Genomic DNA, 19503 nt, shown 5'->3' on the forward strand with positions numbered 1-19503 from the left:
AATGTCAATATTTTTTAATATCTTGTATATATTGGCACTTTTTCTTTGTTTTCCTTTTTTTTTTTTGAAACGGAGTCTCACTCACTGCGACACCCAGGCTGAAGTACAATGGCACGATCTTGGCTCACTGAATCCTCTGCCTCACGGGTTCAAGCGATTCTCCTGCCCCAGCCTCCTGAGTAGCTGGGATTACAGGTGCCTACCATCCCTGGCTAATTTTTGAAATTTTAGTAGAGACCAGGTTTCACCATATTGACCAGGCTGGTCTCAAACTCCTGACCTCAAGTGATCCACCCGCCCAGCCTCCCGTATTGCTGGGGTTACAGACGTGAGCCACCGGGCCCAGCCTATTTGTACTTTTTCTAAAAGAGAAATTGCTAGTTTTATTTTAACAGTATAACTTTTTTTTTTTTTTTCTGAGACGGAGTCTCAGTCTGCACTTCCAGGCTGGAGTGCAATGGTGTGATCTCAGCTCACTGCAACCTGTGTCTCCCGGGTTCAAGTGATTCTCCCACCTCAGCCTCCCCAGTAGCTGGGACTACAGGCGCGTGCCACTACACCCGGATAATTTTTCTATTTTTAGTAGAGACGGGGTTTCACTATGTTGGCCAGGCTAGTTTCAAACTCCTGACCTCATGATCTGCCCCCCTTGGCCTCCCAAAGTGCTGGGATTACAGGCGTGGGCCACCACGCTAGGCTAACATTATAACTTTTAACACTGTAACATGTTATCTAATTTTCCTTTAAAGGACTTTTTCAAATTGCACCAATTTCTTAAATTCTTAGAAATACTATAAACTACTCTTGCTCTGAAGAATGAATAAATAAAATATATGAATTTTAGCTTACAATTTGTATTTTTTAATTATGAAAAATCTGATATTTTCATAGATGTTAAATTCACACATACTATGATCACTGGTTTATTGTATTTATTCATTATTTTAAGTATTTATAACAATCATAATAATAAGGAACTTAGCCATTGCATATAACAAATTTCAAACTTGCTTTTTAAAATTATTTACTAGGCTTTCTTTCTGCTTGAAATGCTATTTATATAGCAATCTACCTAGCTTACTCTTGAATTTTCTTCCAATTTTTTTTCTCAGATAATATTAAGGAAGTCATCACTGAACCTGCATTTAGAATTTTCATATGTAATCTTTTGTTGCCTCCCCTCTGGATTCCCCCTACACTGCTGTGCATTTTCATTTTTTATACCACTTGTCACATTCTATCTTGTATACTTTTATGGGATATTTATTGCTTATCTTTTTTACTTCCTGCTGGAATTTAAACTCTAAGAGGTCAGGTGCCTTTATCTATTTTCGTTAAATCACATAACCCAAGTTCTGGAATAGTGCCTGGCACATAGAGGGCACAAATAAAAATATTTGTTGAATAAATGTGTCTTCTTTTACTTAAGGTAATAGTTGTCATTTCTAAAGAGCCAACCAAGACTTTAGGATGTATATTCCCTCAGTGTACTTATTGCCTGCTATATAGATAGTAATATGAACATTTAGGGGTACATTTAGGGAAACATTTGGGGTACACAAACCAAATTTGCATAAATAAGGCAATAATTATAATACACATAAACATAATCTGCTGCAGCTTAAATTTTATTTGACCTTTTACCAATCTCTTAATTTGGATGACATGTGTGTTAGTCTTAATTATTCTCTATTTTGAATGACTCCTTCCACTTTATTAAGTAGCTCAGTTAAGGAAAACATTATTCATTCTTTAGAAAAGTTGTTTCTGTTTCACTTACATCTTTTATTGAAGAAGTCATTCTAGTAGAAAATACAGTAAAGCAACTCTTGCTGGGACCTACTCAGAAATGTCTATTGAAATTAGAAGGAGAAGTTCCAGCAGAATAGGCTGGTAATTTAGTGTCTATTTTTAATAACTCAGACTCACTTTTGTGTGTGTGTGTGTTTTTTTTTTTTTGAACGAATGTGATTTTACTTCCTTTTTCAGAGAAATATAGTAGTCTGTAATGGCTCTTTCATATTTTTCCCCATAAGCTACTAGACCTATTCTTGATATTGTCCGAAACTTGGCAACCACAAATTATAAAAAGGGGTGATTGCTTAACACTGGGCAGGCTTTTCATTTTATTTTTAGCATGAATTTTAATCTTCTTTGGAGTTCATGGCACGATAACTTTTATGACAACTGGTGGTAACTGAAGATAGTGAAAGTAGAAATCACTCACCAACAAGTTAGTGAAATAAACCACAAGACATTCAAACAGTGATATTTTCTCTATTCATTGAACCTGTCATGATTCTGAATATGTCATTTTACAGACACAATATAGTAACCCAAAATTCTAGTTTTTAAAAATCCAGCATAAAGTAGCTTTTCTAACAGCAAAATCTGTGTTCTTACCTATTCTGCTATGCTGATTTTACCAACTGGCTCCAAAAATATTACACTTGCCAAATCAAATGAGAAAAATTGACACATGACATATCTTAAATACAAAGCACTATAATTCAAAACAAAAAAAATACAGAAGTGTCATATTTTAGTAAATGTCATATCAACTGATTGAAAGTTATTCCTTTCAAGGATTAAAAAAAAAAAAAACTGGAAGCCTGAATATACTGTGTACAAAAATGTCACTGACAATGAATATCAACCACATTAGATCAATCAGTGTTTAGCCCTCTGTTGCCAGGAATCCTCTAATTGATTCTTAATGTTGCTTTGAGACTTACTGATTGGCAATGAGGTAGTCTGTTTTATACCTAAAATCTAAGTTAGGAGTGGTATAGAAGTATTATAGAAACAAAAGAAAGCGACTAAAGTAAATAAAGGTATGGTTGTGGATGAGATTGTTTCAGACAAAATTAAAAAACTTGTAAAATAACTTGTGTTCTTGAGATAGGTACATATAATTTATGTGCAAAGGAATAAGAGAAAAATAATTGTGGACCATAACTTTGATGGTTTTGTAATTAGTTAAACTATTTTTCACATTTCTATTTCATATATGTTTCACACTATGGTAGGGGAAGTTCTGTGCAATTTGGAGAGTAAAAAGAAAACAGCAACTGTTTTACAGCTCACACATATAATTGCTGACCTGCTGACTTACTTCACTGGAATAAAGAAGTATCTGGGCTACCTTCTGCTGGATCCTCCATCTTTTGCAATTACTCTAACTTCTGCTGGGATCTTCATCATCCTCTCTGACTTCTAGGCCAGTATGTGTGGCCAGTTTCCTAACAAATGCTTGGCTTTTGCAGGATACTCTCATCCTTCAGGTCAGAGGCAACATGGGCTGACTGTTTTCAGTTTATGCTTTTGAGTTACAACCTGCTCGTGATCTTTCCTGCAGCACTATGGACATTACTATCCAGCATCAGATAAAAACAACTTTGGAGACATCTTAACCAGTCTCAGAACTGTATAAACCATTTCCTAATTACAAATTTCTTAAATGAATACTGATTCCCCTTTTCTGTTGAACCCTGAATGATAGATGCTTTTAGACAAGCTTTAAGACTCAGGATGCAGATAGAATGATGCATGTGACTCTTATTGGTCATGTGAAAGATCTTGGCCATTTAATTTTTTAAGCTTTGCGAAGGGATAAAGATCATCATCAGGTTTGCAGTTCGTAAAATTATTCTGCCTGAAACATATAAACTATTTAAAGAAAGACGACTGGGGAGAGATAATACAAAACTATTGCAGAAGTCAGGCAAGAGTTTATGGTAACTTTGTCTAGGTAGATGGTTGTGAAGAAAGACACAGAGAAGATATGGGTAAAAGTGAAAGCAATTGGTGAGATATATTCTGGTATTAAAAAAGGAAATATTAAGAATGATTCTGACTTATTTGGAATGAGTAGATTTAATTTATTTTATCACTGAGGATAATTTTTATGAAGGAGTACATGAGTTCTGCTTTGTCACAGTTTGTCTACTTTAAGGTAGTTTTGACTTATGCAATTGAAAATACTAAGTTATTAAATGTATAAGGTGATTGCTTAGAGAAGTCAGAAAAAGTGTATACAATCTTGAGTCATCTATGATTATGGATGGTGTCTACTAAGAAAGAATGCTGAAAGAGAATAGACATTGGCATTAATTGCCTAAGAAGTTTCAAGATGTATTAGCATTATAAATGCTGGAGTGTTTTCACTCTTGTTTCAACATTTTAAGGTATTTGGAATTTATTTATTAAATTGTAAATCACTCCCCTAATCATAAAATTTATGACATACTAATAATTATAAATTTAATTAAACATTTTTTACTAAAAATGCATTCAGCTGAATATGGTGAAGTACCAATTTTATTAAGACTACATTCATTAGAAGCTTGAATCTAGTCCCCAAGCATAGACTATTTTTTCCAAAGTATTCACTGAAAACTATTTTACTATGAATAAGTCTCTTAAGTATTATATTCCTCATGCATTTTTAACTGAAAAATACATGATTAAAAATTACTAATATTTCTGCATAGTAATTATTATAGGTAATATAATTTATAATTCTAAATAAAATATTGTGTTCAGAATCCTGTTAAAGACTCATGGTTCTTCTTACTTACCAAGGAACTCAATAAAATATTTTATTGAAAAAGTATTTAAAAACATATTCAATATACACTTTTTTTTACTGGAAAAATTGCACATATATGTATTACTACAGATGGGCGGGAAGACGGTGTATGAGATATAATTTTTTTATATGAAAGAGAGTCAAATAATGTTGACAGGTGAAATGCCAATCTAAGTCAGAATCATCAAAATCAAATTATTTAAGAAACACATGGAAGATTGCATTGACATTGTTGTTATAAATTCTTTTCGAGAAAACCCACAAATACTTCTTGCAGGCATACTGTATTCCAATACCTAGGCATCTACCAAACCACCTGAGTTGCCGATAATCCTTGATCCCTCTCTTGACCTCTTCTCATGGCAATGTATGGCTGACTTTGTGAGGTGAGTATATCTAAAGACATTTTATTTCATATACATCACAGTCTAAATCTCTTTCTGTAGAGTGAAAGTCATTGAAACATGGTTTTCTTACGTTGTACTCTAGTGCACTTTGCTCTATGAAAGTCTGTAATAATTCATATTTTCTTGTTTCTTTTTTTTTTTTTCAAGATGGAGTCTTGCTTTGTTGCCCAGGCTGAAGTGCAATGGCATGATCTCAGCTCACTGCAACCTTTGCCACCTGGGTTCAAGTGATTCTTCTGCCTCAGCCTCCTGAGTAGCTGGGGTTACAGGCACCTACCACCACGCTCAGCTAATTTTTTGCATTTTTAGTAGAGACGAGTTTCACCATGTTGGCCAGGCTAGTCTCAAACTCCTGACCTCGTGATCTGTCTGCCATGCCTCCCAAAGTGCTGGGATTACAGGAGTGAGCCACTACACCCGGCCTCTTGTTTCATTTTTTTAAGCTACAAAGTGCTGGATAGTGCTTTGTAATAGCCTCTACAGCTCTACTCTTGCAGTGAACATCAATCAAAGATTGAACTCATTCACTGCACTTTTTCCTTCGCATCTGGTCAAAATGTAGGCTGCAAATACAAATCAAATTGCTAAGAAATAAAAGATGCTATTTAGCTTTGACAGATATTTCAGCAATTGATGAACCTTTAAGAACAATTGATAAACCTTCGAATGCCATTTGATCCCCCTTCTCTCCATTTCTTCCTCCCTCTTCTTTGCCTTCATTTTCTTTTTTATATTGTATTCTATATTTTTGCACAGTAATTCACTTCATTTTGAAATAAATTTTGTTTAAAATTTTATTTCTTAAATGATTCAAATAAAAAAGATTTATCAGGAAGCCAAAGTCAACTAATACATATTAATAATGGAATGATTTAGATCTAGCTGTAAGATCTAGATTTATAGATCTTATAAAAAGTTTAGTAAAAATAATCGGAAATAGTACATATATCAGCGCTTCACAAACTTCAATCTGTATAAGAATCACCTGACTTATTATCAATATTCAAATCCTGAAACAGTAAGTCTGGGGTTATACCCCAAATTCTGAATTTCTAACAAGCTTCTGATTGAAGCTAATGTTCATAGACCACTTTGTGAGTATTCACTGTAGTGATGCAAGTCCATAACGCAATATAAAAGGAAAGCAAATAAGAGTTATTGAAATGTAAAACCCATGTACTCCATAAACTCATGGGACTCTACCGTGAGTTAAGCAGTAACTGATGAAATTATACATATTAACTCATTCAACCCTCACAAGAACTCTCAGAGGTAGGTATTACAAATTCCATTTCCAGATGAGGACACTAACATTCAAAGGTAGTCTTATACTTCACTGAAGACATAGAGCTCTGCTTTTAGAATGTATTCCAGTTTTACATAATTATGTTCTCTCCCTATTAGTAAGATATTATTATTACATTTTACTATAGTTCCTTACAAAATTAAAATAAACTCTTACTGAATAATGAATTTGATCTTGGTGAACATTTTGATTTGTTATACTGATACTGTAATTTGCATATTGTTTTTCATCATGTGAATCACAGTGGTTGTCTAAATGCATATTTAAACCAAGCACCTACTGTGATATACATCAAAATTGATGTCACTTATAAAAGCCATAAATAATTTAGTATTCCATAGAGATAGTGCAATAGAGTTCTAAGTCACAGATACAAAATATTAATTATTTTCATGCTGCAGATAGTACTTTTAGGTGGAAATTTGGTCCTGACTTATTCCTGATTACTTGTGATTTTTGAAGAAACTATGTGCCTATGGGCTGCCATGGGTAGCAGAACACCAAGGAGGCAGTGACCCCTCACCTAACCTACAAATGCTTGAGAGTCTCTTTCCACCTTACTGCAGATATCATGTGAAAAGAACTACCTACTGATGTGGTATCTTTAGAATATCCTATATGATGACAGTCACAGTTGTGCAACTGGAAATAATTCACTTTAAAATTTGCACTGCTGTAGTTATAGAAGTGTATGCAATAATTTGCTGTTTGACAGGAATCCTTATAATAAGAGGAAAAGCAATCACGTAGACAAAAGCTGTGGAAGAATTGAAAGTAATATTGGACCTGCTCTTCTCTGATAAGGAGCAGGAGTTATAGAATATTTCCATTTTTGTGACTCTAACTTTATAATCAATAATATTTGTCAAATAATAGCAAAAGGTTTTTGAAGCTACTGAAATTACACAACTGGGGACATTCAAATAAAAATATGAGAACATGTTCTTTTCGACAATTGGCTAGGGCATTCCTGCCAAATAAAAAATCATAATGAAAATAATTAAGGCATTGAGGGAACATCCAGTCTCTAAGTATAGCTAAAGGTTGTGGCCATTATATAAGGAATAAATGTATGGAGGCTCTGAAAGCTTGAAAGAAAACTATGATTCCATGAGAATGCATGGTAATACGCAAATACGTTGCATACATTAACTATGTGAATGACAGAAGAAAGAATTTGCGTAAAAACAACAAAGCTATGTGATGTGATTTTTTTTTTTTTTTTTTTTTTTTTTTTTTTTGAGACGGAGTCTCCCTCTGTCGCCCAGGCTGGAGTGCGGCGGCGCGATCTCGGATCACTGCAAGCTCCGCCTCCCGGGTTCACGCCATTCTCCTGCCTCAGCCTCCTGAGGAGCTGGGACTACAGCTGCCATTACTCCCGGCTAATTTTTTTGTATTTTTAGTAGAGACGGGGTTTCACCGTGTTAGCCAGGATGGTCTCGATCTCCTGACCTCGTGATCCGCCCGCCTCGGCCTCCCAAAGTGCTAGGATTAAAGGCGTGAGCCACTGCGCCCGGCCGCTATGTGATTTTTTTTTTTTTTTAAAGAGTACTTCTATTAGAAAATCAATGATTGATCAGTGTATATGAAACAAATGACAGAGAGAGAGAGAGAGGGAGAGAAATGATAAGTTGATATGTAATTAAATACTGAACAATCATGGACCAAATAAAAAAAGCCTGACATTGAGTAACAGTCATAGCTTTTACTTTAGTGACAAGATTACTGCATGCTAAATGTTCTAAGCGGTTGACGTGTCCCAACCTATTTGCATATCTCATATCAGAAGCCAAGCTACTGCATGACTGACAACACTTAGGAAAGAAGACAAATATTTACCACCAGCCCAGCCAGTTTACACTGTTTTGAATTGCAGTTCTACCCAGGGGCTTTAACACAGGAAGAGAAGTGCAGGTCCGTGTGTCCTAAAGTGAACCATAACTGGGACTGTTTTTAAAATAACTTTTGTACCTGAATTCAGAATTGTTGTGAGTTAAGATGCGGTACTGTATACAATAATATGATCTGTTGATTTTCCAAACCTTGGAATATATTATTTATAAAATATTGTGAACATGTTTTTAAAACTTTCTGGTTTGCACTGTAACTCACAAACACATTCTGGTTGATCAACATTTAGAAGATTTCAACAAGCTTTCATTTGTTTTTATTTATCTTATAAGGCATAGAATTACATAATAACTTCTTTTGTTTTTTGCTTGTTTGTTAGTTTGTTTTTGGTGGGGATTTTTTGTTTTTTGGTTTTGTTTTGTTTTGAGATGGAGTCTCGCTCTGTCGTCCAGGCTGGAGTGTAGCGGCACAATCTCGGCTCACCACAGCCTCTGCCTCCCGGGTTTAAGTGATTCTCCTGCCTCGATCTCCTCCCAAGTAGCTGGAATTACATGCAAGCACCACAATGCCCGGCTAATTTTTGTATTTTTAGTTAGAGACAGGGTTTCACTGTGTTGCCAAGGCTGGTCTCGAACGCCTGACCTTGGCCTCCCAAAGTGTTGGGATTACAGGCGTGGGCCACTGTGCCCAGCCTCATAATAACTTCTTAAAAATCCTTGTGACCCTGTATACCTCATATTTATAACTGAAAACCTGTATTTTATTCAAGCGTTAGTAATGATATGTAGCCTCATTGAGTATTAAGTTAAAAATATTTTCATAATGCAAAATAACATAAGGCTCCTAAGCAAGTCATGGAAGTGTATTTACTGTCTCCTTATTTTCCTTTCGTCTCCCATCTTCTAATTCTTTTACACTTTCTGAAAGCATGCATTGTTTTTATAAATTGTTGACTTTGCTCAGAAGGCTTCACTTTCCTTTTTACTAGTACCTGAAATAATTATAATATTTAAATTATCTAACTGTAAAATTTTTCACTCTATCCTTTTTTTTCAACTTTGGGAGCTGCTTCTTATATAAGATCCTGGTATAAAGAGTAACAAGATAAATCATTTTTTAAAAAATGAATCACTGTTGGAAACTTTCTGTTTCTTCTCTGGAAATTAATCTTTAACTATAGTGAGAGCTTCATAGCTTTCTGGGTATAGACTCCCTGAATTTTAATCCTGCTTGTACCAATTATTAGCTGTGTGACTTCGGGCAAATTACATAAAACTTCTCTCTACCTCAATTTCTTCATGTTTAAAATGAGGATTATCATAAAACCCATTTGATGATGGTATTTTAAAAATTAAACAAGTGTTAGTAAATAAAAATATTTTGGCCTAATGTCCAAAACATTGGCAATATTGCTAACATGGCTTTATAAGTTTTGTCCCAGTCACACTGAAATAATTTTAGTTTATATATCATCTTTCTGTTTCCTACATGTTAGATTAAGTACATGATATTTTCCTTGCCTAGAAAGTTCTCTTTCCCTGTCTTCCTATAAATAATTCTTAATCTTACTTTTCTTTCAGTTCTAAATTTTAATAGGTTTCTATTGCAGTGTACAAAACTATTGCAAACATCACGTTTTCTTTTCTTTTCTTTTTTTTTAAAGAACATATTAATTGTCCCTGTGTGGGTCAGGAGTCCAGGGACACCTTAGCTGGATCCTCTGCTCAAATTCTGTGAGTCCTACAAACAAGGTATTGTCCAGGCTGCTTTTTATCTAGAGCTTCGGGAGCTCCTTGTGGTTACAGGACTGAGGAGCTCAGCTTCTAAAGGCATGGCCATTCGCTACCATAAGGCCAACAGTAGCGTCTCCCTGACTTCTAAGTTCCCTTTTAGGGATTCACATAGTTAGGTCAGGTATACCCAGGTTAATTTCCCTTTTGATTAACTCAATGTCAAGTTATTAGAGGGTTTTTAAAAACTCTTTCTAAATATAACAATTCCCACCCACAATCAAGGCTGAGTATTATACAAGTACAAAGGAATAGGTAACGTGAGGGCCATTTTAGAATTCCGACTACTTCAGTCTATTTTCTAGCACTGATAATTTAGTTCTCTCCCATTTTCAAAATACATTTTCTCCCACCAAAACATGTCCCAGAGTCTCATCCCATTATAGAATCAACTCAAAGTCCAAAATCTCATTATCTAAATCCATCTGTGGACAAACCCAAAGGCCCCTATAATTTACAGCATACAGTGATAAGACAAGCAGAAGATAACGATTAGAAACATTTGATTCAAAAAGAGAGAAAATGAAAGGAAAAAATAAATCACTTGATCCTAAGACTTCTGAAATCCACCAAGACAAGTGTTGGATTGTCCTTGATTAGCTTTTAAGGTCTGGGAATAATCCTTCACAGTTCCTGACTTCACCTCTGGGATCTTGGTTCCATCTTCTGAATCATTGCTCCTTTTTCTTTTCATGAAAGGTAATATGTGTTTTCAGTTAAGCACTTTTATCAGGTTTCTACCTGCCAAAATAATTCTGTGAGACTGACAGCTTTATTTCATTACACACTATCTCTGTCCCTTTTACTCCCAGCTGCCACTAGTTCTGTGGAAACAATTTTCTCAAGGACTCTGTGAACCTTCATGGCTTTCAAGGGGATTTAATTCATTAGACAAACACCACAATCACAAATCTTTTGGAGATAATCTTTTCTCTATCTTTGGCTCCTGCTGAGATGAATGAGAGACAATATTTCTAAGCTTCCTGGAGACCCTCTTGCTTATTTGAAAGGTTCTGTGATTTACACCCTTAATCTCTTCTACGGACTCTTTGTGTCATTGTGGGCTCCGACCTTTTGATCTTTCTGAAGTTTCAGCAAAAGGTTGTATAGCCACACACCCAGTTCTCTATACCACACTTTCACCAGTCATTTCCCAATTTTAGCATCTTTTGCCTTTTTGATGGGCTGAAAATTTTAAAAATCATTCAGTCCTATTTTCTTTATGGTTAGCAATTATTTCCTCACTTTTTCTCTATTCTCTCACATTTTATGGTAAATAGTAAGAAAAAAACAGATAGTACCTTCGACACTTTGCCTGAAAATCTCCAAGCTATACCTATAGATTTTTCTTATAAGCTTCTCTTTCCATATAACTTCAGGACATACTTTTGTTAGTTTTAAGCCTCTGCATACCAAGGATCTGACCTCCTCTAATTCCTCAGTGGGATTCTCCTTACTTTCTTCTGAGTCGTCAGTATATTCAATATCCTGTTGTCTGTCATCAGTCTGTCAAATTAATTTATACTTTCTCCATCATACTTCCTCAAATTCTGTCTGATTCCATCACCTGGTTCCAAAGTTTCTCCCACATTTGAGATGTTAGTTGCAGCACTGCTCCATTTCTTGTATCAACATCCATTAGTTTTTTTTTTTAATTCTATTTGACAAGTTATGACAAAGATAGTTTCTTAATAAAACACTCATTCATTATCTCACAGTTCCACGTGCTGAGAGTCAAGGCATGGCTTAGCTGGAACATCGGTTCAGTCTTTCCAAGGGTTGCAATCCAAGATGCCTACAAAGTCTTCATTTTCACTTGAAGCTAAGGGCCCTCGTTCAAGTTTCTTTAGATTGTCGGTGGAATTTAGTTTCTCGTGGTGGGATTTTTGAGATTCTTATCTTGTAGAGGCTCTCTTTCTCCGTTGAAAGTTCCCAACAGCAAAAATGTCTCTCTCTTAGTCCTGTTTTCTAGGGCTCAAATTGTTGGATTAGTCCTGTTCAAAAAGGTCAATCTTGACTAATTCAAAGTGAAGTAATAAGAGCCTTTACTTGCACCTGTAAAAAATTTCCTCTCCTTTGCCATATAAAGTGATACCATCTCCGTAATACTACCCATTATAGTCACAGATCAAACCCTCAGTCAAAGGGAGGGAATTATACAGGTGGTGGAAATCCCGGGGGCCATCTGGAATTCTGCCCTCCATATCAGTCAAACTGTAACTTTCCATTTGCAATCACTCTATGTCCTTCTAGAGTACTCTGAAGTCTTAATATATATCTGTAATCCCTGGAAACTGAAGGTACAGTGACCCTGCTCCTTTTTCTTTTTTTTGTATAATTTCCATGTTTCTTAGTTAATACTCTTTATACTTAGGTTCTTCATGTACCAGCTGAAGATAATACAAACCCTCATCTTTCACAAGAAAAGACTAGGGTAAGTTTTTTTAATATGATATTTTAAAACTACCAGTGAAGATTTCAATAAAAATGCTCCATACCTTCACTGAATGAATATTGATAATATCACTATTCATAATAGACACAAACTGGAAATGATGCAAATATTTTTCAACAGTAGAACAGATAAAGATATTGCAGTATGTTTCTACAATAAGAAACAATAAGAATAAATAAACTACAACTAAATTAAATTATAGAGAAATTTCTTGCACAAGCTATTTTGGGTGAAAGTTGAATATAAATTGGTATAGATCATAGAATTATATTTTTATATGTTCAAAAATAAGCTGAGCTAATTTAGATTGTTCAAAATGCATATAACCCCGAAGGGAGGAGTGAAAATGATTCAAAGGGATATTCTGGTTGAAGTTAATATTCTACTTCTTGATCTGGATTTTTAAAATATGAATTAGCTCAATTAGTGAAAATTCATTGAGCGCTATACTAATGAATGGTACACAATCCTACATGTGATCTATAAATCAATAAAAAGTTCAAGAATATACAAAGGAAATGATAACCACAAGAAAACTTATAGAAATAAAATATCCTCAAATAAAAGCAAACAATATAAATTATCATGTACATGAAGAATACATTTTCAATAACATGTTCTCTTACATACAATGCTCTTGCCCTTTACATTATTTTATAAATGAAATTAAATTACAGTTTAGAATTATCTGTCAACTCCTGCATATTGTAACGCTAGTGAATTTTATGAAGTAAAACTGTCTCTTTTATTTTCCACAGATGAGGTCGAAGGAGGAGTTCTCCCCTGGCACATTTTTTGCTGTCATGTACGTTTTAACACAGAGTTTGAAGTTTTTGTTTTGTTTTGTTTTGTTTTAATTATACCTTAAGTTCTGGGATACATGTGCAGAACATGCAGGTTTGTTATACAGGTATACATGTGCCATGATGCACCTATCAACCCATCATCTACATTAGGTATTTCCCCTAATGCTATCCCTCCACTAGCCCCCCACCCCTTGAAAAGCTCCCGTGTGTGATGTTCCCCTCCGTGTGTCCATGTGTTCTCATTGTGCAACTCCCACTTGTGAGTGAAAACATGCGGTGTTTGATTTTCTATTCCTGTGTTAGTCTGCTAAGAATGATGGTTTCCAGCTTCATCCATGTCCCCGCAAAGGACATGAAATCATCATTTTTTATGGCTGCATAGTATTCCACAGTGTATATGTGCCACATTTTCTTTCTCCAGTCTATCATTTATTAATGGGCATTTGGGTTGGTTCAAAGTCTTTGCTATTGCGAATAGTGCTGCAATAAACATACGTGTGCATGTGTCTTTATAGTAGAATGATTTATAATCCTTTGGGAATATACTCAGAACTTTAATTACACAATTGTATTCATATGAAATATCTAGTTTATTGTGAATCTCTGAATTTTACATAATTTTTTGTAGCAGACTCATGTTACAACTTGTTTTTTTATTCAACATTAGGTTTTAGAGATTTTGTTATACTTATTCCTATAATTCAATTTGTTATTTTAGTTATGATATAGTATACTGTTGTACGGAAACCTTGATTTTTGTATAGGTTTCATATTTTCCTCTTGGTGTACACTACCATGTTTCCAAACTTTATGTCATTGTTAAATATATATTTAATGAAATCTTTGTATATATTCCTTATGCACATTTGACATTTTTGTGTTTTGTTTATGGTATAGTTAGAGATTTATAATTGTTATAACACTCATCTGAAATTCAACATATATTGATAAATTACTTTCCAAAGCACTTAGCAACTTAGTTTCCTGAGTGTATGATATACAGTGATATCTCCTTGTTTTTCTTCCTTGGCATTTATATAATTACTATTATTCTTAAACAAATTCAACACTCATTTTCCCATAAATGAATTGCCTGTACAAAACATAGTTTTTACTTGGCTGTACAAAACATTTTTTTTTTTTACTTGTCGATGTTTAAATTTTCTAAAAAAGGTATATATTGTTTGTAAATTTGAATTTTTATTGCAATTTTATTAGTCTCCCTATATTTCTTTTTAATTTGTATCACTCACAGCCTAGTATATTTGAGATACAGAAATTCTACTACTTAACAATTTGGTCAAACCACTTCTAAAACTACAGTTTAAATATTAATCAGCAAAATTTTCTTTATAATATTTTATGTTTTTCTGAATATTTTATCTATGGTAAGATATGACAAGATATGGTAAGATTAAGTGTTTTTTTCAATTTATTACTTCTACAGTATTCACATTTTTATGGTTAATCTTGTCCATTTTCTGCCTTGATAAGTTGCAAAATTAATGTATTGTTTAAGTAATATATGTAAATTAATTTCTACTTAGCTTTTTAACTATAAGCCACTTGTTTTTATATGAAGTATTTTTATTGCTATTTAGTTATAGGAGTTTAAGGTATAATGTTATCTTACTCTTTATCCTCTGTATTCTTTAAGAGTGCTTTTATCTTTTAGTCCACATGTGTAAGGGATTTTCTCATTCTTCTTGTTGATTTATACTTTTCTTTTTTTTCTTTTTTTTATTATTATACTTGAAGTTCTAGGGTACATGTGCACAATGTGAAGGTTACATATGTATACATATGCCATGTTGGTGTGCTGCACCCATTACTCATCATTTACATTAGATGTATCTCTTAATGCTATCCCTCCCCCCTTCCCCCCACCCCACCACAGGCCCCAGTGTGTGATGTTCCCCACCCTGTGTCCAAGTGTTCTCATTGTTTAATTCCCACCTATGAGTGAGAACATGCAATGTTTGGTTTTCTGTCCTTGTGATAGTTTGCTCAGAATGATGGTTTCCAGTTTCATCCATGTCCCTATGAAGGACATGAACTCATCCTTTTGTATGGCTGCATAGTATTCCATGGTGTATATGTGCCACATTTTCTTAATCCAGTCTATCATTGATGGACATTTGGGTTGGTTCCAAGTCTCTGTTATTGTGAATAGTGCCACAATAAACTTATGTGTGCATGTGTCTTTATGGCAGCATGATTCATAATCCTTTGCAAACCACTGCTCAATGAAATAAAAGAGGGCACAAACAAATGAAAGAACATTCCATGCTCATGGATAGGAAGAATCAATATCACGAAAATGGCCATAATGCCCAAGGTAATTTATAGATTCAATGCCATCCCCATCAAGCTACCAATGACTTTCTTCACAGAACTGGAAAAAACTACTTAAGTTCATATGGAACGAGAAAAGAGCCCGCATCGCCAAGTCAATCCTAAGCCAAGAGAACAAAACTGGAGGCATCATAATACCTGACTTCCAACTATACTACAAGGCTACAGTAACCAAAACAGTGTGGTACTGGTACCAAAACAGAGATATAGACCAATGGAACAGAACAGAGACCTCAGAAATAATACCACACATCTACAACCATCTGATCTTTGACAAACCTGACAAAAACAACAAATGGGGAAAGGATTCCCTGTTTAATAAATGGTGCTAGGAAAACTGGCTAGCCATATGTAGAAAGCTGAAACTGGATCCCTTCCTTACAACTTATACAAAAATCAATTCAAGATGGAATAAAGACTTAAATGTTAGACCTAAAACCATAAAAACCCTAGAAGTAAACCTAGATAATACCATTCAGGCCATAGGCATGGGCAAGGACTTCATGACTAAAACACTAAAAGCAATGGCAACAAAAGCCAAAATTGACAAATGGGATCTAATTAAACTAAAGAGCTTCTGCACAGCAAAAGAAACTACCATCAGAGTGAATACACAACCTACAGAATGGGAGAAAAATTTTACAATCTACCCATCTGACAAAGGGCTAATATCCAGAATCTACAAAGAACTTAATCAAATTTACAAGAAGAAATCAGACAACCCCATCAAAAAGTGGGCAAAGGATATGAACAGACACTTCTCAAAAGAAGACATTTATGCAGCCAATAGACACATGAAAAAATGCTCATCACTGGTCATCAGAGAAATGCAAATCAAAACCACAATGAGATACCATCTCACACCAGTTAGAATGGCTTTCATCAAAAAGTCAGGAATCAACAGGTGCTGGAGAGGATGTGGAGAAATAGGAACACTTTTACACTGTTGGTGGGACTGTAAACTAGTTCAACCATTGTGGAAGTCAGTGTGGCGATTCCTTAAGGATCTAGAACTAGAAATACCATTTGACCTAGCCATCCCATTACTGATTTATACTTTTCTATTGCACTTTCTTTATTTTGCTGCTCACTTTCACTTTTTCAAATGCTGATAATTTTTTACAACTTAATATATGTTTAATTTGGTAACTTTTCTGAATAATTTTAGAATGTGTGTATAGCCTCTTTTTGTATGTTTGGTGCGATCTCAGCTCCCTGCAACCGCTGCCTCCTGAGTTCAAGTGATTCTCCTGCCTCAGCCTCCTGAGTAGCTGGAATTGCAGGTTCCGGCTACCACGCCAAGCTAATTTTTGTGTTTTTAGTAGAGATAGGGTTTCACTATACTGGCCAGGCTGATCTCGAGCTCCTGACTTCAAGTGATCTGCCCTCCTCAGCCTCCCAAAGTGCTACTTTTACAGGTATGAACCACCACGCCCAGCCAGGTTTGTTAATTGCACTGCCAAAATATTATCCTTTTTCTAATTGTGAATTTTTTTTGTTTATAAAACTTTAATTCTTTCCAGGTATTGCAACTTTTATTTTTTTCTTTACGTTTCTATAAATGTATGATTTCTATATCATTGTGGTGGTTTTTACTATCACCATTCTCTAGTAGTTTTCTTGACAAAAATTAATTATTATTTTTAGGTATTTATATTCATAAATGTGCTTTTTTGGTTACTTTTTACCAGAAATATATTTCTTCTTTTTCAGTTAAATTTTAAATCATTGTATTTTAGGTAAATTTATTTTAGATAGCATACTAATTGGCTTTGTTTGTTTATTGAATCAGAAAGATTCTATTTGGAAAATCCTATTCATTTGTATTTATTTAGTATTTTTATTATATTTTGATATACTGTTCTTCCTTGATTCTCTAAAAATATTTTTGTAAAATATTTATTCTCATTTCTCTGTATGTATGAGGGAGAGAAAGAGGGAGGGAGAGAGAGCAGAGAGATATCTATCATATGCATGTGTTGCTATTTGAATGATGGCTTAAATGAAAACAGAACTGGATATCTACATTTAATTCTGCACATGCAAGTCCATATCTATTCTTTACCACCGTGTAGATAAATAATTCTTTAATATGTCTTTGTTTCCACCTCCTTGTTAGTAAAGGCTGTTTTTACCTTTTAAGGTTAATAACATTTTGACTTTAAAATGCTATTTCTTTTTAATATTTTTATTTTTTACTTTTTTAAAAAAACGTTATTTTAGGTTTGGGGGTACACATGAAGGTGTGTTACATAGGTAAACACGTGTCACAGGAGTTTGTTGTACAGATTATGTCATCACCCAGGCATTAAGCCCAGTACCCAACAGTTATCTTTCCTGCTCCTCTCCCCTCTCCTGTCCTCCCCACTCAAGCAGATCCCAGTGCCTGTTGTTTCCTTCTTTGTGTTCATAAGTTCTTGTCATTTAGCTCCCACTTGTAAGTGAGAATAGGCAGTGTTTGGTTTTCTGTTCCTCCGTTAGTTTGCTAAGGATAACTAAAACCAAATAATTTAAGAAGTCCTATTTTGATATTACATTCTTTTATTTTTAAATTTGATCTTTTTAAAGTCTCTGTAGACTTAGTTATTCTATAAACTCTATTTCTTACTTTTTTCTTCATTCCATCTCCTTAATAACAGGATTATAATATTATCATAATGATATATCTTTTTTTTTTTTTTTGAGACAAGGCCTTGGCTCTGTCACTCAGACTGGAGTGCAGCGGTGCAATCATGGTTCACTGCCACCTCCACCTCCCTGATTCAAATGATCCTCCCACCTCAGCCTCCCGAGTAGCTGGAACTACCAGCATGCACCACCACACCCGTCTAATTTTTGTATTTTTTGTAGAGAAGGGGTTTCACCAGGTTGCCCAGGTTGGTCTCGAAATCCTGGGGTCAAGCAACCCACCGGCCTTGGCTTCCCAAATTGCTGAGACTGCAGGCATGAGCCACCAGGCACATTCACGGTACATCTTTTGACTTCTAAGTAAGCTCACTGTTCATGGTGTATAATCTCTATTGCACTTTTATCAGAAATAAATTTCCACTTTAGTAACTTTTACTGTTTATAAATATCATCAACACACAACTATTCTTGATTTTCTCCCAATTTGTTTTCTGTATAGGATATTATTTTCATCTAAATTATCATACTTAGCTTTTTGTAATACTTAAAATTCATTGAGATAAATAATGTCTTACTAAAAAGTATAATTTGATAAGAATAACAACCTTAGTGATTTAAAAATATTTAGCAACTTCCAGTGAGACATTTTACTTTAGAGAATGGCAAGATTTCTGAAGATCTGAAAATGTGGATCTTCTTGTTTTATTCTTCAATTGATTTCTAAAGAGTATATATATATCTGGGCCTTTTTCAGTGTTTTCAGAACTAGTTTCATTTCAATATTATTGCATTTACAGTTTGGGGAACAACAGAGAGATAAAAAGAGAAAGAGATTCATTTTCTCACTATAAATTTTCTTTATGTTGCCATTCGTCCTAACTCAGTTTCATTGTCTTAATGAATCATTCAGAGTGACCTTGTGATTGAAAGCAGTTGCTTTTCTGATAACAAGGATGTATTTGTCAGAAAGTATATGGGGTTTAATGAACACATGTTCTGCCACTTTAAGTAATTTGTTGCTTTGGCAAATTTCTTAACCACTCTGTGTTATAGAACCTTGGAAATAAAATCCCTGATAAGGATGACATAAGATTATTGTGAAGACTACATAAAATAAGTTATGCAAAAATCCACTGAAAGATTATAATAATATAATTGTTACTTACTTATTTTCATTTCCACAGGGCAAAAAAAATTTTTTTCCGACTTGCATTTTACACATTAGAAAATTGTACTAACAAAATTAACCATTATCTCTACAAAAGTAACTATTCAAACCTTAGCTTAAACAACAGATTCATTTTATGTACAATT

The sequence above is a fragment of the Homo sapiens genome, chromosome 5 (genome assembly GCF_000001405.40).
Source record: "Homo sapiens chromosome 5, GRCh38.p14 Primary Assembly".
NCBI lineage: Eukaryota > Metazoa > Chordata > Mammalia > Primates > Hominidae > Homo > Homo sapiens.